The sequence below is a fragment of the Homo sapiens genome, chromosome 9, assembly GCF_000001405.40.
Source record: "Homo sapiens chromosome 9, GRCh38.p14 Primary Assembly".
NCBI lineage: Eukaryota > Metazoa > Chordata > Mammalia > Primates > Hominidae > Homo > Homo sapiens.
The window spans coordinates 74,986,803-75,013,916 of NC_000009.12; the positions used below are offsets into that span (position 1 = coordinate 74,986,803).

Genomic DNA, 27,114 nt, shown 5'->3' on the forward strand with positions numbered 1-27,114 from the left:
CATTTAATGCTGTGTTGCATTGCTCAGTGAAAATTTTTCAGGCAATTAGCACAGTTTTCTCACTAGATTACAAGTTATGTAAGTCAAGGAACACATCTTAAGTTGCTTTTGAACCCACCACAATGCCTAACTTAGTGCTGAATTTATAAATTTTACCAAAGACAACAGCTGGAGTGTATATTTTTAGTCTTCTAATACAATGGTACTTTGACAAATATCCTTGTGCATATTTTAGATTATCCCTTACAAAGATGTTTCTTGAAGGCCAGAGAATAAACATTTTTACTGACCTGATTCAGAATGCCAAAAATGCTTTCCCAAAGAGTTATAAGTTTTCACTCACAATTGCAATAAGTACTTATTTCAGCATCTTATATTAAATTGTGGGAATGCAATAGTACAGTCACTTTGGAAAACACCTTGCCAGTTTCTAAGTTATAGATACACTCACCATATGTGACCCAGCAATTCTGTTAGGTACGTATTTACGCAGGATAAATGGAAATTTGCAGCCACACAAAGATTTATACTCATATTTAATGCAACTTTATTCTTAATCATAATAATTTGGGAATAACCCAAACGTCCACCAACCAGTGAATGGATAAACAAAATGTAATATATCAAATGGAAAACTAGTCAACAATAAAAAAAGACCACCACAACAGTACATGCAACAAAATGATGAATCTCAAAAGTGTTATGCTAAGAAAGCCAGAGACAAAAAGCAGCATACTGTATGATTCTATTTATATGACATTCTAGAAAAGGGAAAACTATAGTAACAGAATCCAAAGTAGTGACAGCATGGTATTAGGAGTAAGAGGAGAGAATGGAGTACAAGGGGACATTTTGGGGTGATGGAAATGGGAAGATTCCCTGTCTTGATAGTGGCCATGGTTACACAATTATCCAGTTTTCAAAATGCATCAAACTGTACATTTGTAAAAAGGGTGAATTTTATTATATGTCAATTATATCTCCAAAAAAATCCAACTTAAAAAAAAAACACAACAAGAATTTTTATTAAACAAAATATTTGCTAATTTGATATGGGGAAAATTATATATAATTTGAATTTGCATCTCTTTGAGGCTGAGCAGTTTTTCATATTCACGACCTAGTTGCCCATTCTTTAAACAAATGTTTACCAAGCACCTAGCTAATGTCTGGCACTGGATATATATGAAGATGAATAACAGAGACACATTCCTCAAAGGGTTCTTTATTTTCTCAACTCTCATGTCTCTTCGTTCTTTTTTTCTTTTTTAATTTTTAATTATTTAACTTTTTTTTTAGAGACAGTGTCTTGTTATATTACCCAAGCTGGATTAGAATTCCTGGGCTCAAGCAATCCTCTTGCCTCAGTCTCCCAAATAGCTGGGACTACAGGCATGCAACACCACACGCAGCTTTCTTCATATTCTTTTAGTGGCCATAACAGAAGGAGCAAAGATATGTTTTTTTCTTTGATTATAAGATCAAAACTAGGAAGCTGAGATAACATGAAAAAGCATTAAAAAATTAAAAAATCACCTATAAGTCTAACATTCAGAGTAAGCACTTGAATATTTATCTCCTTGCAGTCTTTCCTTGATGTACAGTATATTCCATATACAGTTTTACATCTTATACTTCATTAGGAACATTTCTCTATTTCATTATTTCTAGAAAATAGTTTTACTGTATGAATGTCTTATGACTGTCCACTCCATTACTGTTAGAAATATAAGTTCACTCTAAGTTCTTGCTGAGTATGTCTGTCCATTTCATCAGTCTTTAGTCCGCCCATATCTGATTATTTGCCTCTGACAGACTTCTAGAAGTATAATTAATCTAATAAACATAGGTAATAGTGGATTAATTATGTAACAGGACAGATGGCAAATAGTTGAGGCTTTGTGTCCCACTTACAGTGTCTAGCATATATTCTTATTTGTGTTTTTCCCCATTACCCTTTAAGAATGTAAGAAATACTTGTAGTGGTAGGGCCATACAAAAATAGGCTACAGGCCAAATTGGGCTGTAGTTTGCCAACCCCTGACTAAATGTATGAATATTTAAGGTTTTCCCACACACTATTTTATAACATGTTACTGTTTTTCTAGAAGAAAGTCATATCATTTTACATCCCCACTAACAGAACAAGAGCATATCCCATCTCACTGTACTTACCTAAGCTTTAAGTAAGCAAATTTAAAAACTTAGTGAATATGATAGGTGAAAAATGGTAGCACATTTATGTTTATTTACTTAACAGTGAGAATGAACATTTTTTTCTGTATATAGGTTGTTTACATTTATTCTTTTTTTCATTTTTTTACTGAGTGTTGGAGTTTTGCTCTGTCACCCAGGTTGAAGTACAATGGCATAGGCATAGTTCACTGCAGCCTTGAATTTCTGGGCTCCAGTGATCCTCCCACCTCAGGTCCCAAGTAGCTGGGACTACAGGCACAGGCCACTACACCTGGCTAATTTTTAAACTTTTTTTTTAGAGATGAAGGGTCTTGCTGTGTTGCCCAGGCTGGTCTAGAAATCCTGGCCTCAAGTGATCTGCCTGGCTTGACCTCAGGAGTTGTCAGGATTACAGGCATGAGCTACGTCATCCAGTTTTTTTATTATTAAAATAACTTGCATATTTATGTTGTACAGCCTATTTCATTGCTGGGTAGTTTTCTCTTTGTTCCCCCTTTAAAGAATTTTTTTAATCTAAAAATATAGTTTACTGCTGATATGGTTTGCCTTTGTGCCTCCACCCAAATCTCATCTCAAATTATAATCCCACATGGAGGGAGGGACCTGGTGGGAGGTGACTGGATCATAGGGGTGGCTCCCCCCATGCTGTTCTCAGGATACTGAGTTCTTGCAAGATCTGATGCTTTAAAAGTGGCAAATGCAAATTCCTTTGGGGAAAAACACTTCAACCCAGGCCTTAAGAAATCCAAAGTGCGATTTCTCATGAACAATCCCCAATAAACACTCAAAGTCAACAGCACAGAGAAACAAGGAATCATGAACAAGAACCAAGAAAAGCAAGAGAAAGCAGAAAATGACCTGCAAAGACTTGAGATGTCAGAATTATCAGAAATAATATGCTCAGTATTTTCAAATAAAAGACTATCGGTCAGAAGAAACTATCCAGAGTGCAGCATGGCGAGAAAGATAGCAAGAGAAGTGGTTGAGATATATGAAAGCTACCATGAGAAGTTCTAAAATATATTTGATTGCATTTCCAGAAGAAACAGAGAAAAAGAATGAGGCAGAGGAAGTATGTGAAGAAATAATGGCTATTGTTACATATTTTAATGCTAAACCTATGATTGGTGAGAGGGGATCCCCCCGCAAAGCTGAGAATTTTTCACAACTGATAAGGTCAATTCATAGACTTAAGAAGCCTAACAAACTGTGCACAGTATTAAAAAGAGAACTCCACACCTAGATGTAATATTAGACCTGATAAAACTACAAGGTAAAAATCTTAAAAAAACAGAATACCTTCAGAGGAGCAACATTTTAAAAAGCTGAATTCTCAACAGCAAAGACGGAAACTAGAGGCCACTGGGTGTGATATATTCTAAGTGTTGAAAGCTACCTGCCACCTTAGTATTTTATACTGAGTGTTGCATTGGAACTAAAGTTATCAGTATGAACTTACGATTTTGTCTGTATGTTTGTGTGTATGTATGTGTGTGTGTTTAGTTTTTCTTAAGGCCCTCCTTTGATGATTTTTACATACACGCATATACATGATTTTTACAGACGGACATATACATATATTTCCTACCCTGTTTGCCAAAAAGGCCTAGACAAAATACCACTTCGGTGGTAGGAACTAGATTTTCCATTTCTACAAACCATTCCCCATTAAAAGGAACTAGGAATCCTTGGAAATAATGGCTGGTCAGACAAAGTACAAGATGGGCTTGGAATATCTGGTTGTTTCACAAAGGAGGTACCAAACAGTGACAGGGATATGTCGAAAGAACAGGAACTAGCTTAAAGGGGGTTGCCAAACCACTTGCCAAATCTGTGACAGGCGGATTTAAACCATTTACACCTGTAAGGCTCTAAAAGTTCTGGTTAAGAGAGAAAGATTGTTTGACTGGATAGTAAAAATGTACTGTAGGCTGTTTGTAAGAGACACACCTAAAACATAAAGATTGCCACAAAAAGGCTGAAAAATCTAAAAAGTTAGGCATAAAGATTTAAGAGACAGAAAAAGATACAAGAAACAGTTATTAATTTTAAAATAAGCTCATATAGTGATATTGACATGCCCACTCCAAGAAATGTGACTTGCATCTGTGCAAAACATCTGGAATTCAAACCTTGGTAAGTTTTTTTTTCTTTTTTTTTTTCCAGAGGGAGTCTCGCTCTGTCGCCAGGCTGGAGTGAAGTGGCACAATCTCAGATCACTGCAACCTCTGCCTCCCAAGTTCAAGCAATTCTCCTGCCTCAGCCTCCCGAGTAGCTGTGACTACAGGTGTGCGCCACCACACTCAGCTAATTTTTGTATTTTTAGTAGAGACGGGGTTTCACCATGTTGGCCAGGATGGTCTCAATTTCTTGACCTCGTGATCCGCCTGCCTCACCTCCCAAAGTGCTGGGATTACAGGTGTGAGCCACCATGCCCGGCCAAACCTTGGTACGTTTTATAGGCAGGGTAGGGGTTGGAGATGGCTTGGGCTGACGTTCACTGCTTGAGCATTTTCCAAAGTTTTTAATTAATCCCCTTCTTTTCTGCCCTACATTTCGCCCCCATTCTATATGAGGACACGCTTTCCTAAATCCTGCTCCTTTCCTATTTACTTTTTCTAGAGAATTAAACTTATGGTCTCTCACCTGAGCATGGAGTGGAAATGGGCATATAAGGTAGGCATCTTGATTATAGAGGAGTCAACTGTTCAATATATACAGATTTTCAAGTTAGGTTTTTCCATACAGCACCTCGTTTTCCAGAGTTATTCGGGTAAGGTGGCTCTCACATGTGTTTTTCTTCGCAAAACTTACCTATCTACCCCAACTTCTAAAAACTGGCACATTATTTTGTCCCCCAGTAACATGCCTGCCATTCTTTGTCCATGTGTTTTATATCTTTTTATATTTTTACTACTACTATAATGAGGAAAGGGCTGTATGTGTTCAGTCATCTATCTTTTAAAGGGAATCTCGTTTTAAAAAATTCTAGGCCAGGCACAGTGGCTCACGCTTGTAATCCCAGCACTTTGGGAGGCTGAGGCAGGTGGATCACCTGAGGTCGGCAGTTCAAGACCAGCCTGGCCAACATGGTGAAACCCCATCTCCACTTAAAATACAAAAAACAGCCAGGTGTGGTGGCGCACGCCTGTAACCCCAGCTACTTGAGAGGCTGAGGCATAAGAATCGCTTGAACCCAGGAGACAGAGGTTGCAGTGAGCCGAGATGGTACCACTGCACTCCAGCCTGGGTGACAGAGTGAGACTCCATCTAAAAAAAAAAAAGAAAAAAAAATTCTGTAGCTTCATAATGCTCTAAAATCTGATAAGACCTATCTTTCAGTACACTTTACAAAGATCTCCTTTGGTACTTTTACCAGATGTAGTTACATTTTAATTCTTCAGATGTAGTTAGATTCATTTTATTAATTCTTCCAGATGTAGCTAAATGCCTGCCCTCCACTACCTGACTCCCAAATTTATCAGTGGATACATACACACACACTTTCTTTTTAGAAGAAATTATAAATAAATGTGTTTAAGGAGTGCTGGTCAGGATGAAAAACTGAAAAAGGGAATTCACAGGCATTCTTTTGTTCTTTGCCAAAATCATAGCCTTACCCAAAGGACATATGCATAATAGTTCCCTTAAAAGGCTTACTAGCTTTCCTTAAACTGGGTAGTGTTAAAGAGTCCATCAAATCCTCCTTAATTAAAGCATTTGTAAATTAATGATCCCCACCAAATCTGATTTCATGCAGTTTGGGCAACATTTTCATATATAATTTTACCTCCAATGTCATTTGTTCCAGAATGGCTGGCCATTACATTTCCCATTATATATGAATATATTGATGTTCTAGTCTACCTAAGCAGGGTTAGGGTAAAATCATCCCCAAGAGGTTGATCTCTCAGTTTACAGGGTAAATTAAGCCTCCAGGTCTATATAATTAAAGCCAAAACCATAAGAATGTTATGAATTTACCAATATAGATGGCACTTCATCATCTCTTCGAGACATCTTAGTATGTTCCCTTTTTCAAATTTTGAAACAATACATTCATACATACATGTAACAGTCATTAATACCCATTGTTTGCCAGGCTTTGTACCAGGTGACTAGGAAGCATTAGATCTTTGCCCTTATGGAGCTTAGAGACTAGCAGTGGAAACAAAAGCATATGGGTGCTAATACCAAACTGAAGTATATGTTACAGCAGAGTCTCTTAGAACATAAGAAATACAGAATACTTAACCCAACCCGAAAGGATCACCTGAGCTAAGTGTTTAAGAACACATAAGGACTAACCAAGGGAAAACAGAAGAGAAAGAAAGGGCTAAGTCAAAGGACTGGCACTTGAGGTCAGAGAAGGGGTGGTAAAAAATAATCCTGAAGGTAAAAAACATAATCCTGAAGAGTTTAGGTTTTCCAGAAAGCTAGAATTTCATGCAGGGAGTCTTACAGGAACAGATTTGCATGTTAGGAAGGTCACTGATGATTATGTGGAGAAATGAAAAGGGCCGAAGACAACTTGAAGGCAGGGGCGTCCTTAAGGAAATTACTACAGTAATCCTAATGCTAATCCAGGCAAGAAACCATGAAATTGGAGCAATGGTTCTCAACTGGGGATGACTCTGCCAACACCCTCCACCCCCGGAGGGCAACATTTTTCAATATCTAAAGACATTTTGGTTGTCAAAACTGGGAGGTACTACTGGAGTCTTAGAGGCCAGGAAGGCTGTTAACCATCCTACACTATACAGGTCAGACCCCCACTTCCCTCACCACTCCCACTGAAGAATGATCCAGCCCAAATGTCAAAACCACAATCGAGAAACCCTGGAATAGAAGGATATTCAAGAGCGATTAAGTAGCTTTAGGAGATACAACTTTTAGACTGACTAGAGACAAACAGCGAGGAAAAAGAGAGGTCCTATTGACTGTTTGTGTCCCCCTGCCTCCAAATTCACATGTTGAAGCCCTAATCCCCAGTGTGGCTGTATTTGAAAGTAGGACTTCTAAGGAAGTAATTAAGGTAAATGAGGTCGTAAGGGTGGGGTCCTCATCCAATAGGATTAGTGTCCTTATAAGAAGAGACACACCAAAGAGCTCACTCATGCTCTCATTCACTCCTTCTCCCTCTATGCACAACCAAAGAAAGGCTATGTGAATACACAGCAAGAGGGTAACCCCTGCAAATCAAAGGAAGAGCCCTCACTAGACACCAACCTGGTGAGCACCTGGAATTCCAGTCATCAGAACTGTGAGAAAATAAACTTGTTATTTAAGCCACCCAATCTGTGGTATTGTTATGGTAGCCTGAGTGACCTAATAAAAGGGGTAACGAAAGGCTCCCAGTATTTTTCTTCAGGGTAACCTGAGTAGATGATTAATAGAAAAGATATTGGGAGGCATGGAATCATTTTCTGTTTTGTTTTGGCTTTTTTTTGAGATGGGGTCTCAGGGCATGTTGCCCAGGCTGGTCTTGAGACACAAGGATTTTGAAGTATCTGTGGTACACCCAAGTTGGACATACTGGCTTGGAGCACAAGAGAGATGTTTGGACCAGAGATACAGATTGGGAATCCAAAGAGTAGGAAAAGCCATGAGATTAGGTAGGAGGAATATGGAGTCAAAAATGAGTACATGGCATAAAAAATGAAAAACACAGATTAGATGCCCAGAACACAGTAACATTTAAAAGAAAGCTGATTCTGAGACTTTTTTTTTTACATTCTTTAACTTATACATGCAAAAGATGTGTAAGTTAATACTTTATAAAGTACTAACCTTCCAAATAACTATTTTTAAGGACTGTGTTTCTCCATTATTACAATTTTCAAAATTGTTTTGAGACTCCATAATGGAATTAGCTCTCCTAATTGACTTCCTGTTAACCAACATGCTCCATTACTTCTGATGCCCATGACAGATCATAAGTCACACTATAGTACATCTACTCTTATCAAACAGTATACTTATCAGGAGCCAACTTTATGTGCTTCAGGTAGTTACAATTATTGTATTATATAACTTAATAAAATATTCATAAACCAATAAAACAAATGTTAAAAAAAAAGCTGTTTCTATGAAAGTCACATGCTCTGGAAATACATAAAACCTTACCATAACTCAGTAATGGGGGTCAAAAAATTTAATTATATAAACACAGGGTCATGTTAATGCTAACTTACAAATTAACTGAGGGTAATCAAGAAATTGGCTCTGGGCTTCAAGCCTGTCTTTGCCACATGTAAGCTACAGGACTGTTCTGCTAGTTATTTAACCCAAGACTCTAAGTCTCTTCAACTATAACATAGTGCCATTTCAATATAGGGCTGCTTTGAGATTCCACAAGGTATTTATAAGGGACCAACACAGTACCTAACCCACAGTAAGCAAATACCCAGTAGGTAATATCTTTCCATTTTTCCTTGGGAAAAATTTCCCAAGGTAACTACTTTTAAAGAAGACTTACAGTTTGGGATATTTATTTTATTATGATTGCATTGTACAGCTGCTTTCATCTGGTCCTAAGGAATTCTTAAGAGAAGTTTGCAAAAGACTTACTACTACCTCCAGGGCTTAGTCCCAAATGGCAAAATTTCTGGTAAATTAAAATTAAAAAGAGAGTAGGTGTCAGAAATCAGTCACAAAACTAGACCCACCCGGAAGGCCAAGGGCTCAAGACCATGTACGTTATGTCCTTTTATGTAGTATAATAATCCTTATCTTGAAAACCTTTATGTTCTAGTCATGATGTCTTTCTGAACACAGATTATATATCTCACGAAAGAATACATGTATATCTACCTGAATATTATCATTATACCCCCTTTATTTTAAAAAGGAGTAAAATGGCAATTTCCTTTAGATTCTGGACTGGAGGGACCATGTTATAGTCAACATTTAATTTCTAACATCGAGTAGTAAGTAGAATGCAGTAAAAAAAAATTTTGCATAAAAAAAATTGTGTTTCTATTCTTTCTTAAACTCAAGGTAATCACAGAAGTTATCACACCTACACCCTTCCCAGTATATGGATGTACTAGGGAGGAAGATTCCATGGAAGAGGTAAAATCTCCCCGCATGCTTCATTATAGAAAGAAAAAGAGAACACTCTCTTCCTAACAGAACGGACCACTGTCTCAGCATGTGGGATGGTGATAATGAGGGAATGATTACCTACCATCAGATCAACAATTAGTATACACTGAAATTACAATGACTGTGAGACTGACCTAAGTGTGAATATACAACTTCTGAGCTTCCACTGCCTTTGGAGGGATCACCACCAGGATGCAGTCTAAAGGAAACTGTAGTGGTTTTAAAACATTTACAACATAATTCTAATGTTCATGCACATTTGAGACTGTGAAGTTAAATGTAATACAGCTGTAAGTACTCAGATTAATATACAAAATTTTAGTAAATACTAAAAAACTTACCTAGATTTATCCAAATTCCACCTGGCTTGAGTATTTTCCATATTGTATCAATATAATCAATTACATTGTGAGCTGTGTCTATGAAGAAACAGGTAGCAATACAGTCCCAGGTATCTAATGAAGAAAAATCAAATTACTGCATCTGTTATGTTATTTTGCTTTTTTCTTTTAATTAATTATTTAAATCTGCCAGTTACCTTTTACAGAGTATTAATATTTGACAGAGATACAGAAGCTAAACTTCTGATCAACATTATAATTACAGTAACCAAACAGTCATTTATGGGAAATACTGATATCAATAATCTGATTAAGTAATCAATTTGGAAATCATCCCCAATAACACTAATATTATAATCTAATCTCTACATATTATTACCAAATGGTATTTGTTAGAGTTTTGTTTATCCTCTATTCAACTTCTAGCCTTCATTTAAAATCACTTAAAACAAAATAATAGTCATTCAAATTTAAACTAGTGTTAACCACCAATTCTGGCAGGTTTCAGAAAGACTGCAGGCACCAGTTGCCAACTGAGAAATGAATGACATCCAAATACTTCAACATCTACCACAACTTCGAATAATTACCAGGGAAAAAGGGGAGCCAGGGGCAGGCAGAAGCAGTGGGTGGGAACCCAGTAGAGAACACCGTTTGCCTCTAGGAGGTATGGTGTCTATACAAATGCTGGTGCAATAAAGGCACTTGATCCCATGGAGGACTACCTTCATCATCTGTTCTCTCAAACCTTGCTCCAGAAAAAGGGGACTTTTACTTGCCTAAGTGATGTTTTCCATTATTTCATTCCTTATCCACAACACCTAACATCTTCCATCTCTCCCTTTCTTCCTTCAGAGTACAGGTTGTCCCAGTCTCAGAGTTCAGAGAAAAATAAACAAAAACTTTCTATGTTGTAAAATAAATAAATAAATAAAAACAATCTATGTTGTTGCTATCCCTGCTTTAAGCCCTCCAATGGCTTCCTGTTTCTCTGAGTACAATTCCAAGTCCTTGCTATGGCCTGCCAACAAGTTTGCCTCATCAAACCCTCTCGAGGCTGACCTCTCACCACTGTACCCATTGCTTACTACAGCCTAGCTCCTCCTTGAGCAGAGCAAGCACTCACTCTACTCCCTGATCCTCTTCCCTTGCCATTCCCCATCTGCAAAATTTTGCCTTCAAATATCTCAGTGGTTTGTCTGTGTACTCTTTCAAGGTTCTCTACTAGACATTTTTTTTTTTTAGTTTCTACTCTTAGAAAGGCTTTCCCTGACAACTCTATATAAAGCAGCAGCCTCTCCCCAGTCACTCTGTAACCCGTCTTCCCTGCCTTATTTTTTCTTCCTTACAATATTGTATTTGTTATTGCCTCACTTTCTCTATTGGAAGTTCTCTGTGGACAGGGATTTTGTTTTGTTCACTGTTCTCTTTTGACACCTAGAAAAATACCTAGTACTTAGTAGGTGCTCAACAAATACCTATTGACTCAATGATCTTGCTGAACCCTCGGTATTCTATTTTGCTTTCCTTTTAGTGCCAATCTCCCTCTCCACTTTCCCTATTACCATCTCCCTTTCTCTCCTGCCTAGCTCAGATTTCTTCAACAGTTTGCCAGGCTGAAGTCAACTGTGCAGCCTGACTATACAAGTCCTCCATGATCTGGAACAAATTCACTTTTCTAGCAATAGCTCCTATTAAATCTCATTAAATCTCCCATTAAATCTTTTCTTTCCCTGCCAGTACAGCTGTGCTGCCATCCCCAATCACCTTGTTCATATCTTTGTACTTCTGTCTGCCTCAAATGCTATTCTCTCAACCTTCAAGTCATAGCCTCACTATGAACAGCTTCCTTCTTACACTAATAACCTTTCATTTTTTTGGTATTCATTACTCATTTAACCTTTGTTTACATGGTATCTCTTAGTATTAATGGGCCCAACAGATTCTAAATTTCTTGACTGTAGATATCTTACACTTCTTATTTCCTATCACTGCCTTGTACACGACCTTGAAAACATTCTAAATTGACACTGACATATGCCTTATGTTCTACCATCAAAATGAATGATCTAAACCTTGGCTTAGGATAAAACTAGCTCATTAAATTTAGAATAAAGGACAAGACTTTTTAAACGCTTGATTTGGACTTACTGCATTCTGAATAAATCTCTTGAAAATCTCCTGCTGTCATAGAAAAGTTAGAACCAGGAGGAAGACTGTGGGGGTCAACATCAGGGAAAAAGATGGGTCGAATCTGATCAGCTGATCTCCGGTTATTGCTAAACTGATGGATCCAAGGATAAAGTTTATATTTATTAATTTCAGAACATCTGCAAAATATGAGTATAAAATCAGGTGTTAACTAAATATTTTACCAAGAAAATCCACTTTAAATACTAAAAATATACTGTTTAATTGAAGATTTGCATATATAATTAATATTTAAAGAGTCACTATTACAGCTTCCCTAATTATCTGAAAATGTACATATACATGTAGATGAGCAACCAATCAATGGATTAAAGACAGAAAAAAAAAGTAAATTCAGAGATATAAATGTGCTGTTCATTCAGATTTTTAAAAATGTATTTCTAAACTTCAAAACCAAGTAATAACAGTCCAACGAGGTTTTTTAAAATGGTACTGGTTTCAACTAAAACAGTTTGCTATTTTTTGTATAACCCTCTTCTTTTTTCCCTTTTTCACCAATCCCCTAAAACTCATACTGCCATCCGAGACAACATATTATTTAAACAAGGCAGCTACTCAATGTACATCTTCTGGCTTTAAAAATAACAATTGTTTTCCACTGCCTTCCAAAAGAGGCCACAGAAGTTCTGAGAGATCTTTCCAACTCAGTCATGAGAGCATACTTGGCCATTTTATAAGAACTTGATTAAGGAGAAAAAGTTATAATTGCTAAACTAAACTCTTATTTAACTAAAGAAACAAGGAAGTAAAGAAGCTTAAGGAATAAATTTAGAAATACTCCTTCCTGGTTCATACTTAGTCCTGAAGATTTTGTACAGAAATCATTTCATGGAATGCCCAGTCACTTTCTATAAAGTCACTTACCCATCTTGTTTCAACACTCTAATAACTAGGCAATTGGTTCAAGTGATAATTTGTGTAAGTACTTTGATTTTAACATAAGACACATTTGTGATATATATAATAATCAAATGCTATGTACTTATCTTCAAATTCAAAATTGTTCAAGAAAATAGGTAAGTCAATCTGATTCTGAGAAATTACTATTTCCAGCAAAAAATAAATTAAATACCTGTTGAGTACAAAGTTGGAAGAAAAGAGCATAAAAAAACTCCATTCATTTCCTTGACAAGCATAACCTAGCATAGCTATTTCCCAGGCCAGTCTTCCTAGTCCAGCACCAGGTACCAGAATATTTACTTTAGAAGGATCCCTGAAATGAAATAAGGCAATTATGTCCAACCCCTCAAAGAAAAAAAGGAAAAGACAAAATCCACATTAACAACTAAAAACTTACTCATTTACTCAATAAGAATAAGCTAAGACTCTGACTTCTCACAATCAAGAAATACTTCTAAATATCAAAAATAAAAGGTATAAGGAATTATTATGTATGTTCCGATATCAGATGAGGGTTTTACCCCTCAAAAATTATTTTTCAGAAAAAAGGAGTCCCCTTACATCTCAAGACTTATAAAGTCACTCATATTCCTAATAGCTGTCACCCTGAACAACTATCTTAGAAAGACAAATTATTCCAAAGGGATCCCAATTAAATATGAAGAGTTTGAACAAAAGTACTTCATCATATGGGACAATAAATACAACATAACTTTATTTCTAAATTTTATATGTAACTCAATTGTTTATGTTAGATTAAACAGATGTAGAGTTTAATGTGTCAGGTATATCTCTAAATCCCTATATATTTTAGTTGACAGAAGAATTTGGGGGAGGGGATATTTTCATGGGGAAAATGGGAAACGGCCCTCTAATTAAACATACATGATAACAAATATATTACACCAAACCAGAGGTTCACAACCAAACTGATCTCTACCTACTAGCACCACACTGCCATTACATATTTCCTTCACGTAAGATCCATCATTCCACTTTCAAACCACTAAAAGTTTTACCAAAACAAGGCTTTTTCTCAGGAATTTTGGCAAATCAATATAATCCCGAGGAAACTAAAATTGTAGTCTTATAAGAAGCCAAAGGAAAATGTATACAATCAGCTAATATCATGTCAGGAAGTAAAAAGAAACTTCACTACTGTATTTCCTAAATTTGGTTCACAAATCAAATCCAATTTCCAAATCTACTCCTACTAATGATTTTTTTATCTTTAACTATGTGGCCTTTAAGTTTGGCATGCTCCAAGCAGCAACAGGGCACTTTACTAGTAGCCCATATAACCTTTGCATGTCCCACTTCAAAATAAGAAAGAACACTATGGGGCTTTTGAAAACTCATAGCTCTAGGACTCTGTGCTATTCCTTATATAAGGGAACTGCCATGATGGCATCCTACTCAGACCTAACGCTCTCTCATTTCTCACTCCCTACCAGACCCACCGAAACCCCTACTCTGGAGAATTACCTTTCTTTTCTCAGTTCCCATCTGTCCAATCATAACATGCATTTCTACCCTTACCCCAGCAAGTGGCTGTTCTCAGTTTAGAATTTTTTTTTTAATTATCTGATCAAACTCATGCAACAGAAAGCAAAAGGATTTGGAAGTAAATTCATATAGTATTTAAATCTTTATATAAAAATAACCAGCAATCAATTTCCAAATGGCTGATGACCCCAGTAAAATATTACCATGCAGGAGTTAGAAATTATGCTACCCTGAAGGGAAAGCTGTGACATAATGTTAACAACAATTATTTTGCTAACTTACAGAAAGTTAACTTAATGACTGCTTTTATCAAATTCTCCTTAACTAAACAGAACCATAGAACTCTCCACCTCAACCTAATGGCAGAAAATATATTAACAGTACCTTGTATTAAAACTGCTATTGAAAGGCTACCCATCAAGTCACAGAATGAAGAATATATCAAAGTCCTATCTTAAGAGTTAACAGACACTAATATAGATGTAAATTACTGGCATTATGACAAAGAGGAAGTGGACATGTAAGAAATGCATTAAAACAAACCCTCTAGAACTGAAAAAATGATCAGGAACTATGCAATGAATGGGTAAGATGGAGAAAATTTTTCCCTAAATCTTTGTTCTTAGCTAGATTTTCTTCATTTGGTCTTTACACAAGGGATATTAACAGCATAATGAAAAGTTCCTCTAACTGTGATGTGCATGAAACTAACGCACTCTAAGTGGGAATTTCTGCTATGAATCCGTATGAAGTCTAGGGCATTTCTATGAGGTCATTTCTGTGGAGAAAAAGAAACACAAATCTAATACAGACCTTAATGGTGAGACAACCTTAAACCAGGCTGAATTTTTTTTTTAAAGCCAGAATAGAAAGGCATACAATATGTGGCTCAGTAATCAAATGGTGCCTACTTGAGATTCTTAGTGAAAACAAGCAAGCCAACAAGTTTACCTAGTTAATAAGGCCCAAATGTGGAGAAGCAGTAGTACATTTACTACAATGTGACCTCCCTAATAACAGGAGGAAAAGTTTCAACAGTTTATTCAAGACAAACAGGAACGGAGAAGGGATACATCTGTAAGGACAGAGTCCATGTGTCTAAAGAGGCCATAGATCACACTTCCATCAACCTTTCTGCTCCAGCTTTTTCACCAGCAGTAAACATTACTCTTGACAGAGGTTTCCTTTGTTACACACAGAACGATCTTTGCACTGCAGTTGTAAATTTTAAAACTCCAACACAAAATGCTGTCTTGTTGGGTCATTATGACACTTGGCTGACCCCTAGTGGTAGAAGTAAATACAACTTTTAAGTACCTACAGTGGTTCTCTTTGAATCATAGTACAGTACAGTAAAAGCCACTAACTACATGTGGCTACTGAACACTTAAAATGTGGCTATTGCAAATTGAGACGTGCTGTAAGTGTAAAATGAACACCAAATTTAAAGACAGTACAAAAAGGAATGAAAAACATCTCATTAATAATCTTTTATTACATTGAAATTTTCAAAATAAAAATAAAATTGCTTCTTTTAAAAAATATGGCTGCCCTGAGCACACTGCCTGTGGCATAGCCCTGCTCTGCAGAGGCAGTCAAAAAAAATTTTTTTTTAATATGAAAAAGAGATCTAAAGCAAATATGGCAAAATGTCAAGGTTTAACAGAGCTAGTATTGAATTTCTTTTTTTTAAATTTGAGACAGTCTTGCTCTGTTGCCCAGGCTGGAGTGCAATAGTGCCATCTCAGGTCACTGCAACCTCTGCCTCTCAGGCTCAGACGATCCTCCTGCCTCAGCCTCCCAAGTGGCTGGGACTACAGGTGTGTGCCACCATGCTCAGCTAATTTTTTTATTTTTAGAGATGGGGTTTCGCCGTGTTGCCCAGGCTGGTCTTGAACTCCTGGGCTCAAGTAACCTACCCACCTTGGCCTCCCAAAGTGCTGGGATTACAGGCATGAGCCACCACACCCAGCCAAAAATTTTTTTATTCATCATAGAAAATTGACTATAAATCAGGAGTGTTTAGCATCTCCTAACTTACCTCTTCATCAACTCCCAACAAAGAACTCTTTATTTCAGCCAGACAACTTCTCACTGATCCCAGAAGACTTTCTTTAGAGCTCTTACCCACAGAAACTCAATTACCTTATTATTATAAATTATCACTTCATCTATATTTCCTAAATATCCCAGGCAAAGTTCCCTGAACTCTCTTCTCTATGCTTTCAATAATTCATTCACAGTTCTATTATAGTTTACATACCAAGGTTCTTCACTTCGCGTCATTCACTTAACACAGGTACAGCAACTATGGCTTGCAGGCCAGTCACCTGTCATTGTAAATGAAGTTTTACTAAAACGCAGCCATACTCACTCATCTAAGAATTGTTTATGGCTGCATTCCTGCAACAAGGCGCTAAGCAGTCTCAACAGAGACGACATTGCCGGCAAAGCCTAACACATTTACTGTTTGGCACTTCAAGAAAACATTTGCCAACCCCTGATCTAATACAATACCCCTGAATCTCCTTCACAGCAGTACACAGAGCTTCCTTAACTCACTGCATGACTGTAACATAATTTATCAAAATCTCCTAATTAAGGATATTTATATTGTTTCCAATCTTTCACTATCATAATGTTAAAACGAATACCCTTAGCATGAATAACTTTTTATTTTGAAAAATTTTACTTCCCACACTACACTAATGTAGTGGCATAAATAACTTTCACATGCAGAAATATATATGTAGAACAGCTTCCCTTAAATTGAACTTCAAGAATCAAGATATGCATTTGTTTTTTGTTTTGTTTTGTTCTGTTTTGCTATGAGACGGAGTCTCGCTCTGTCGCCCAGGCTAGAGTGCAGTGGCACAATCTTGACTCACTGCAACCTCCGCCTCCAGGGTTAAAGCAATTCTCCTGCCTCAGCCTCCCAAATTGCTGGGACTACAGGCCCGTGCCACCACACCCAGCTAATTTTTGTATTTTTAGTAGAGACAGGTTTCACCATGTTAGCAAGGCTGGTCTTGAACTCCTGACCTCAGGTGATCCACCTACTTCAGCCTCCCAAAGTGTTGGGATTACAGGCGTGAGCCACGGCGCCTGGCCAAGATATGCATTTGAATTTTGACAAATAAGCCACATTGTTCTACATAATTTTTTGCTAATTTATTCTTCCACCAGCAACATATTTATGTTTCCTCACACCTGCACTAATAGTTATCTTTTAAATCTTTGCAATAAAATAAGTAAAAAATGGCATCTTAACGTGGTTTTTACATTTGCATTTCCCTATGAGATTGAGTGTCCTGTATTTCTTTTTCTGTGATCTATTTACAGGATTTGTCTACTGGGTTATGAATGCTGAGTGGTTTTTCTACTGTGTTATTCTTCTAGATCTGTAAGCACTTGAAATCTTGACTTGAAAGAAATATGAAACACATACCTGTCTTTGGTCTCAGGATGAGGGAGAAATCTATCTTTAGTCTCTGAACTACCACCTGCACTATTTGGCAGTCTACATTTTCTCCAATTTCCTCCATTTTCTTTTTAAAAATGAGTTCTCCTAGCTAAAAGAATCTTTTCATGAACTATAATTTACATTATTTATTTTATCTTAAGTGGAAAAAAAATGCTTCGTTAAAGCTCAGAGTATTTTTTTCCTAATGCCCAACTATATAAAAGAAAAAACGAATTCAACCAGTCAGTAGTGCATCAGTATCTTTTTGGAGTGTTTGTGTATATATATTAAAATGCAAAGACATAACAGATTTTCCCCCACAAATCACTTCAAAGTCTTCTAAAATTGAATGGGCTAATGAAATTAAGATCTAAAAAATATAGTCCAGCAACTTTTAGACTCAAAAAATGTGATTTTACATGTTAGCCTTCCTTCCAGATAGGATGCAAACTTAAGAATCTATATTTCCTTACCTACTATAAGCTTTACAGCACTGAATTCTTATATTTAAATTATTAGACATTCACTTGGAAAAATTTTTTTTTAAATTTCAATACATACAGGTCTGACCATCAATTAAGAAGAGTTATTACATTATGTTTATGTTCATACGTGAGAAAAAGGTTTAAACCCTAAGCTCATTCTTTAAATTAAAAACATATATATCATAAATTTCAATGAGCAACTGCTCACTAGAGTAGTGTTCAAATACTATTTAAAACAAAAACCAGAGGATACGAAAACAGCATTTCCTTAATTAACAAACAGACTCTATACAAAAGCAAGTCGATCTGTGGCTTCAAAGCTGCTTGTGCTTGCAAACTCAGGCATATTAAAAACTTGAAACATAGACAGATTGGAGAAACTGATATATGTGTTTCCTTAGGAAAAATATTTTAATGACCACAAATATAGTTAATTTTACACATATTTCATTAAGTATATGATCTTTTTTTTTTTTTTTTTGAGACGGAGTCTCGCTGTCACCCAGGCTGGAGTGCAGTGGCGCAATCTCGGCTCACTGCAAGCTCCGCCTCCCGGGTTCACACCATTCTCCTGCCTCAGCCTCCTGAGTAGCTGGGACTACAGGCACCTGTCACCACGCCCGGCTAATTTTTTTGTATTTTTAGTAGAGACAGGGTTTCACCGTGTTAGCCAGGATGATCTCGATCTCCTGATCTCGTGATCCACCCACCTCCGCCTCCCAAAGTGCTGGGATTACAGGCGTGAGCCACCGAGCCCGGCAAGTATATGATCTTCTATAGGCAGTTCAATTAGAAAAGGCCTTCAGTGAAATTAAAACACACACACACACACACACACACACACACACACACACACACACACAATAAAAGGCTAGCTGACATAAATTTGTGTTAACTCCAGCCTGAGTATAAAGACATTAAATTCCCCATGTACTTACTGTGGCATAAACAGAGTCCTAGAAATTTACCTGAAAGACACAAAGTTGACCAGAATTTATCTAGAATCAACCTGGATTCTGAAGGGCTACAATTAATGACCCTTTTCTTCCTTTTCTTTTTTTTTTGTGACAGAGTCTCCAGCTCAGGCTGGAGTGCAGTGGCTCTATCTCGGCTCACTGCAACCTCCACCTCCCGGGTTCAAGTGATTCTCCTGCCTTGGCCTCCCAGGTAGCTGGGATTACAAGTGCACGCCACCACACCCAGCAAATTTTTGTATTTTTAGTAGAGACGGGGCCTCACCATGTTGGCCAGGGTGGTCTTGAACTCCTGACTGCAAGTGATCCACCCACCTCAGCCTCCCAAAGTGCTGGGATTACAGGCATGAGCCACCACAGCTGGCCTAATGCCCCTTTTCCAGGCTCTAGGGTTTAATTTATTCTGACAAAGCTACGATTTTAATATTGATGCAGCCTTTACTGTGTTTTATTAGGTTTCCTGTTTAGGTTTTTTTGATAGCTCACCTTATCTACTATAAGGAAATCAATCTAAATCAAGTAAGTAAAACAAATAACATAGGAAGAAATGTAACAAAAAACAGTGTAATAGATATTACATTTCAGTGTACTTCATTTAAAGTTCATATATACCTATCCACTTTTATAACAATTACTTTCAGGAAAGGAAACTGGGTAACTGAGGAACAGTTATGAGGAACAGTTATGGAAAGGAGACTATATATCCCTTGAAACCTTTTAAGTTTTAAATCCTGCAAAATGTTTTAGTTATTCAGAACGGTTTTAAATTATTTTTATTTAAAAAATAACCTATTAGTACCATTTAGAGTTAACTCATCCTTTCCTCACCAGTTTACATTTTGTCAAGTAATAATAACAACGGAAAAGGAACAGTGTGTGCTAGTTCACTAATTATCTTATAATTATCTAATAATGCCATGCCTTTTTAGTATTGCTGACACTGTTATACTAATTAATGGTATCATACATGATTCTATAATCACTGAGTATAAACAAAGTCATGTTTTAAGTGCCAGAAATGATGTTGATATAAACATTTCACATTCAGCCTCCAACATTCACTCAAACTTTGGTACATTTCTATTAAAAGCCTTATCAATTAAAACCTACAGATATTTTGAATTTTGAGGTATACCTGGACTTTATAGAAAGTATTAAACTTGTATCTATTACTTTATAAAGCAGGGCACTGAATATATTGAGAGAGAATACCAGCTAGAAACTTTAAGAATATAACATCTTTTTGGAAACAACAATGTTTATTTAAACAATTATTTACCATGACCAAGTGGTATTTATCCCAGGAATGCAAGGGTGGTTCAACACAAGAAAATCAATTGATGAAATATATCACATTAATGGAAGAAAAAACATATATATCATCTCAACTGATGCAAAAAATATATTTGACAAAATTCAGCACTCTATCAGAAAAACCTTTAGAAAACTTTAAGAAAATTTGGCTGGGCGTGGTGGCTCACACCTGTAATCCCAGCACTTGGAGAGGCCAAGGTGGGTGGATCAATTGAGGTCAAGAGTTTGAGATCAGCCTGACCAACATGGTGAAACCCCGTCTCTACTGAAAATACAAAAATTAGCCAGGTGTGGTGTTGGGCGCCTGTAATCCCAGCTACTCGGGAGGCTGAGGCAGGAGAATCACTTGAACCGAGGAGGCAGAGGTTGCAGAGAGCCAAGATCATGCCACTGCACTCCAGCCTGGGTGACAGAGCGAGACCCTGTCTCAAAAAAATAAAAATAATAAAAAAAAAAAAACTAAGAAAATTCTTCAACACGATAAAGGGTATTTACGAAAGTCCCACAGCTACTCAATGGTGAAAGACTGAAAGCTTTCTCCCTAAGAACAGAAACAAGGAAACAAAAGGCATTCAAATTGGAAAAGAAAAGGTAAAAACTCTCTTTTTGCATAATGTGATCCACAAAGTATCCCTAAGAAAGCTAACAGAGCTAATAAAGCAAGATTGCAGGGTACAAGATCAACACACAAAATTCAGTTGTGCTTCTATTACATTAGCAACAAAAATTCTGAAAAGTAAATTAAGACAGCAATTCTATTTATAATAGCATCTAACACAGGGATGTCAAATCTTTTGGCTTCCCTGGGCCACACTGGAAGAATTGTCTTGGGCCACACATAAAATAACACTAAAAACAGCTGATGAGCTAAAAAAAAAAAAAAAAAAAAAAAAAAAACCCTCATAATGTTTTAAGAAAGTTTATGAATTTGTGCTGGGCCACATTCAAAGCTGTCCTGGGCCGCATGCAGCCCACTGGCCACGGGTTGGACAAGTTTGATTTAAAAGAATTAAATACATACAAATAAATCTTTATAAATTTTTTTTTCTTGAGACGGAGTCTCACTCTATTGCCCAGGCTGGAGTGCAATGGCACAATCTCAGCTCACTGCAACCTCTGCCTCCTGAGTTCAAGCAATTCTCCTGCCTCAGCCTTCCAAGTAGCTGGAATCACAGGTGCACTCCACCACGCCCAGCTACATTTTGTATTTGTTGGCCAGGCTGGTCTTGAACTCCTGATCTCGTGATCCACCTGCCTCGGCCCCCCAAAGTGCTGGGATTACAGGCATGAGCCACCACGCCTGGCCACATATGAATAAATCTAACCAAAGTGAAAGACCTATACACTGAAAACTACAAAACACTGCTGAGAGAAATTAAAGCTCTAAATAGATGGAAAGACATACTGTGATAATGTGTAAGATTTAACATTGTCAAGACCTCAGTACTACCCAAAGCAATCTATATATTCAGCACAATCCTTAATGAAAATTCCAACAAACTTTTTCGCAGAAATGAAAAAACCTGAAATTCACAAGAATTACAAGAGGCCCCCAAAATAATCTTGAAAAACAACAAACGAGGACTCACACTTCCTGACTTTGAAATTTATAAAACTATGGCAATTAAAATAGTATGTTATGGCATAAGGACAAACACACAGACCAATGAAACAGAATATAGAGTCCAGAAAAAACCCACATACATGGTCCACTAATTTTCAACGAGTCTACCAAGACCATTCAATCGGGAAAGGACAGTCTTTTTTTTTTTTTTTTTTTTTAACAAATGTATTGGGAAAACTGGATATCCATATGCAAAAGAATAAAGTTGGATTATTACCTTACCCACATATAAAAATTAACTCAAAATGGATCAAAGACCTAAACTTAGGAATTAAAACTATAAAAACCTTATTTTAAAAAGTTTTTTCTTTTTAACTTTAGAGGTAAGTCTTTGCAATGTTGCCCAGGCTGGGGTGCAGTGGCTATTACTAGAGGTGCAATCACAGCACACAGCACACTACACCCCTGAACTCCTGGGCTCAAGCAGTCCTCCTGACTCAGGGACTACTGGTGTTTGCCACCATGCCCAACCCAAGTATTTTTTTTTTCTTTTCGGTGTAAGTAAGTAACCCATACCAAGTATTTCTTAATGTTGCAAAGATATTCCTACTACTCTGATGCAGGAAAAATATTAAAATCATCAAACATAAAATAAAAGGTGAGAAGCATATGAAACTTCAGAAAGCAGTAATATTCCTATATTGCCATATTTCTAGATGCAAGGCTTATGGACAAATAAGTGATTAGTAGAAGCAGCTAATACATGCAAATATATTACAAATTAAAATCACTTAAATGATTCAGTCAGCACCACCCTTCTCCCCACCCCCCAGCCCACTAGTGGCCTAATAAGACTAAGGAGAAATGATTTTTTTCTGGTCATTAATATTACTTTATTGTCTACTATTCCTTTACATACAATGCCTGGCATTCAATAAAAAAAATTAAGAAACATGCAAAGAAGCAAGAAAATGTGGAACTTATTGTTATAAGGAAGCCTTCAAGAAAACAGTCGCACAAACAGAATGTAAGAATCATTAGGTAGGGATTTTAAAATAACCATGAAAAGTACGTTAAAGCACGTAGTGCAAAAGGTAGATCATGTATACAAAGAGATAGGGAATTTGGGTACAGACAGAGTATATGTGTAGGGGTGTGCATGTATATGTAAGTGCTAGAAATTTTTTAAAAAATCAAAAAATGAGTATAAGAGATAAAAAAAACTCTTTCTCTCTTATAAAAAAAGGAAGAAATTCTTTTTTTTTTTTTTTTTTTTTTTTCTGAGACGGAGTTTCGCTCTTGCTGCCCAGGCTAGAATGGCATGATCTCAGCTCACTGCAACCTCTGCCTCTTGAGTTCAAGGGATTCTCCTGCCTCAGCCTTCCAAGTAGCTGGGATTATAGGTGCCCACCACCACACCCAGCTAATTTTTTGTATTTTTAGTAGAGACAGGGTTTCACCATGTTGGCCAGGCTGGTCTTGAACTCCTGACCTCAAGTGATCCACTCACCTCAGCCTCCCAAAGTGCTGGGTTTATAGGTGTGAGCTATCACCCCAGGCCAAGAACTCTTTCAAAGGACTTATCAGCAGATTAGCATAGTAAATAATCAGTGAAGTTGAAGTTAGGTTAACAGAAATTATCCAAACTATACTATAAAGGGCTGGGAGGAGAAGGAGTGGGTAGAGTCATGTGAAACCTAAGAGACGACATGAAATGGTTTGATACTTAACATACATGTAACTGGAATACCAGAAGAGAAAGAAGTAGAGGAAATGATAGAGAAATAATGTGAAGAGACATAGCAAAGAATTTCTGAATTGATGATATAGATCTACCTAAACCCCAAGACATTAGCAAATCTTAACCAAGATAAATACAAAGGAAACCACATTTAAGACACCTCACAGTCAAACTGCTAAATAATAAAGGTAGAGGCAGGGTGGGGAGAATGGTGGGGAGAATGGGGAGTAACTGCTTAATGGGTATGAGGTTTTATTCTGGGTTGATGAAATGTTTTGGATCTACACAGTGGTGACAGATGTACAATACTGTGAAGTACTGAATGTCCCTGAATTATTTAAAATGATTACTTTTGTTATATGCAATTCACCTCAATAAAAAACTGAGGGCAAAAGACATAAATATATAATTCTCAAAAAAAAAAACATGTAACATGACCCTTTAACATATGAAGATGTTCAGTTTCACTCATCATAAGAGAAATGCAAATTAAGACTATGCCAACATATAATTTCCCACCCATCAGGTTGGCAAAAGGTCAAAGGCTTAAAACTACAGTATTTGTCAGGGCTGTGCATAAACAGGCACTTTGATACACTGCCAGTAGACAGACAAAACAGTGCAACCCTTATAGAAGAACATAGTAATGACTGTGGCAGACAGACCCTGTAGTGGTGCTCCCACGCTCCCTACCTCCTGGTCCCCATGTCTTGTTTCTACCCAACAGAATATGGCAAAGGTGATGAGATGTCCCTCCTGTGATTGTCATTATTATTATTATTATTGAGACAGGGTCTTGCTCTGTTGCCCAGGCTGGAATGCAGTAATCTTATCACTGCAACTTTGAATTCCTGGGCTCAAATGATCCCCTTGCCAGGCATCCACCTCCAGAGTAGCCAGGACTATACAAGTGCATGCCACCTCACCTAATATTCAAATTTTTAGTAGAGATGAGGTCTCACTACATTGCCCAAGTTGGTCTTGAATTCCTGGCCTCAAGTGATTCTCCCATCTCAGTCTCTCAAAGTACTGGGATTATAGACATGAGCCTTGACACCCAGCTCTGTGACTGTTCAACACTGTAAGACGGTTGACAGCTTGCTTGATCTAGACACCCTCCTTGCTGGCTTGATGAAGTGGTCCTTTTGGGAAAGACAAGGAACTGTGGGTTGCCTCTAGGAGATGAGGCAGGCTTCCAACTGACAAACAGAGAGCAGCTAAGACCCTCAGTCCTACAGCCACAGTGAAAACAATTCTGCCTCACTACTACAACTGCAATTAAACAAAATGAAATATGAGTGACAGATTCTTCCCCAGTCAAGTCTCCAGGTGAAAACACAGCCCGGCAGACACGTGGATTGCTGCCTTGTAAGCTCCTACACAGAAGAACCAGTTAAGCCAAGCCCAGACTCCTGACCCATAGCAACTGAAATCAATGTGTTATGCAGCAATCCCACTTCTAAGAATTTAAATTAAAGATACTCTCCTGCACACATACCCGATGAAAGGAACTGAGATTTTTCTGCTAGCAAATGTGAGCTTCAAGGTCTTGATGCCAAACACTATATATCCTTGACCATTTGAGATGTGACTGAATATCACTTATATCTGAGCTCTGAATGTACATTAATATGTTGGGTCAGTTAAGAGCCCAGGTACTGAGGGTCTTCAAGTTTTTGGTTTTTTTTTTTTTTTTTTCTTTGAGATAGCCTTGCTCTACTGGCCAGGCTGGAGTTCAGTGGCATGATCTTGACTCACTGCAACCTCTGCCTCCCAGGTTCAAACAATTCTCCTGCCTCAGACTCCTGAGTAGCTAGAATTACAGGTGTGCACCACCATGCCCAGCTAATTTTTGTATTTTTAGTAGAGACGGGGTTTCGCCATGTTAGCCAGGCTGATCTCGAACTCTTGACCTCAAGTGATCCATCCGGCTCAGCCTAAGTGCTGGGATTACAGGCGTGAGCCACCACACCTGGACAGGTCTTCAAGTTTTAAGAATTTTTTAAAAATTTGAGCTCCATTTTTCTTCAGAATGATCCATGCCCAAATACAGAACTATGTTGACAGTGGGTTACAGAGTTTGCACGGCAAAGTTCAAGTTGTTACACTGTGTTTTTAAAAAATCTTATCTACCCCGTCTCTACTAAAAATATAAAAAAAAAAATTAGCCAGGCGTCGTGGCGGGCGTCTGTAGTCCTAGCTACTCGGGAGGCTGAGGCAGCAGAATGGCGTGAACCCGGGAGGCGGAGGTTGCAGTGAGCCGAGATCGTGCCACTGCACTCCAGCCTGGGCGACTGAGCAAGACTCCGTCTCAAAAAAAAAAAAAAAATCTTATCTATATGTACTGTTAAATCAGAGACCATGAGATCTACTTATCAGAACCAGGAAGATAAATTCTTCAGAGCTATTTCAACTGATACTTCTTTTCCTCAAAACTTGGTGGACTGTCGGGGAAAGGGCCCCACAATTTTTTGTCTTTGATATTAGCTCCAATTCTCATAAGTATATACAGGCCCTATAATTGCAGCAGAAAAAGATGCATGATGGAAAATCTCCATAACCCATGCACGGAGACCTGAAAAATCATCCTTACTGGGTATAATTTATTATGGTGCAATTAAGTGCCAACTGATATTTCTCACCATGGACTGGTCAGGAACTGCTGCAAAGAAAAATAAACAGATCCTTCTGCATTATTTATATTCTAAAATGTGGTAAGGGGAAATCAGGAGAAATTTCTTCTGAAATTATATTATGGATTTTTTAAAAGATTATCAAATAAAGTTATTTTTAAATAAAAATTAAAGTTATACCTCCAATAATATAAAAATACATATGCATAAAGTTATTAATTTTAGCATTATGTATAATTGCTAGATACTGCCAACTACCTAAATAACCTAACGTAGGAGAAAGTTGGTTGAATAAACTATGATACATCCAAATAACAGAGTAATCTTCAGCTGGGAAAAAAAAAAATGACTGAAGATCTCTGTGAAATGACAGCATAGCTATTTCCAGGATACACTAAGTGAAAAAAGCAAGGTACAGAATACATGTATGCTATATTATCTTTTGTGGATGACCAAAGAGGGTAATTATAAAGAAAAACAAAAAGGCCAGGCACAGTGGTTTATGCCTGTAATCCCAATATTTTGGGAGGCAGAGGCAGGAGGATCACTTGAGGCCGGGAGTTCAAGACCAGCCTGTTCAACATAGCAAGACCCCTGCCTCTACAAAAAATACTAAAAAATTAGCTGGGAGGCTGAGGTGGGAGGAGTACTTGAGCCCAGGAGTTTAAGGCTACAGTGA

The 27,114-nt window shown here is 37.4% G+C and overlaps 1 protein-coding gene and 1 long non-coding RNA gene across 6 annotated transcripts in view; one reads left to right on the forward strand and one right to left on the reverse strand.

Annotated features, from left to right (window-relative positions):
* CARNMT1-AS1 (CARNMT1 antisense RNA 1) overlaps window positions 1-10,580 on the forward strand; it is a 44,418-nt gene extending 33,838 nt beyond the window's left edge. The window contains exons 3-5 of the long non-coding RNA NR_121183.1: window positions 4,363-4,483; window positions 4,819-4,872; window positions 9,196-10,580. This is a non-coding gene — a long non-coding RNA (CARNMT1 antisense RNA 1). The remainder of the gene's footprint in view (window positions 1-4,362; window positions 4,484-4,818; window positions 4,873-9,195) is intronic.
* Window positions 1-27,114, reverse strand: part of CARNMT1 (carnosine N-methyltransferase 1) — a 47,641-nt gene that overhangs the window by 6,013 nt on the left and 14,514 nt on the right. For 2 of the 5 annotated variants that reach the window (NM_152420.3, NM_001320497.2), the window contains exons 4-6: window positions 12,928-13,068; window positions 11,796-11,974; window positions 9,645-9,758 (exon numbers count right to left, since the gene is read on the reverse strand). In NM_152420.3, coding sequence (NP_689633.1) covers window positions 9,645-9,758; window positions 11,796-11,974; window positions 12,928-13,068 — 434 coding nt within the window. The other 3 variants (XM_047422766.1, NR_135282.1, XM_011518223.3) reach the window with 3 other exon arrangements.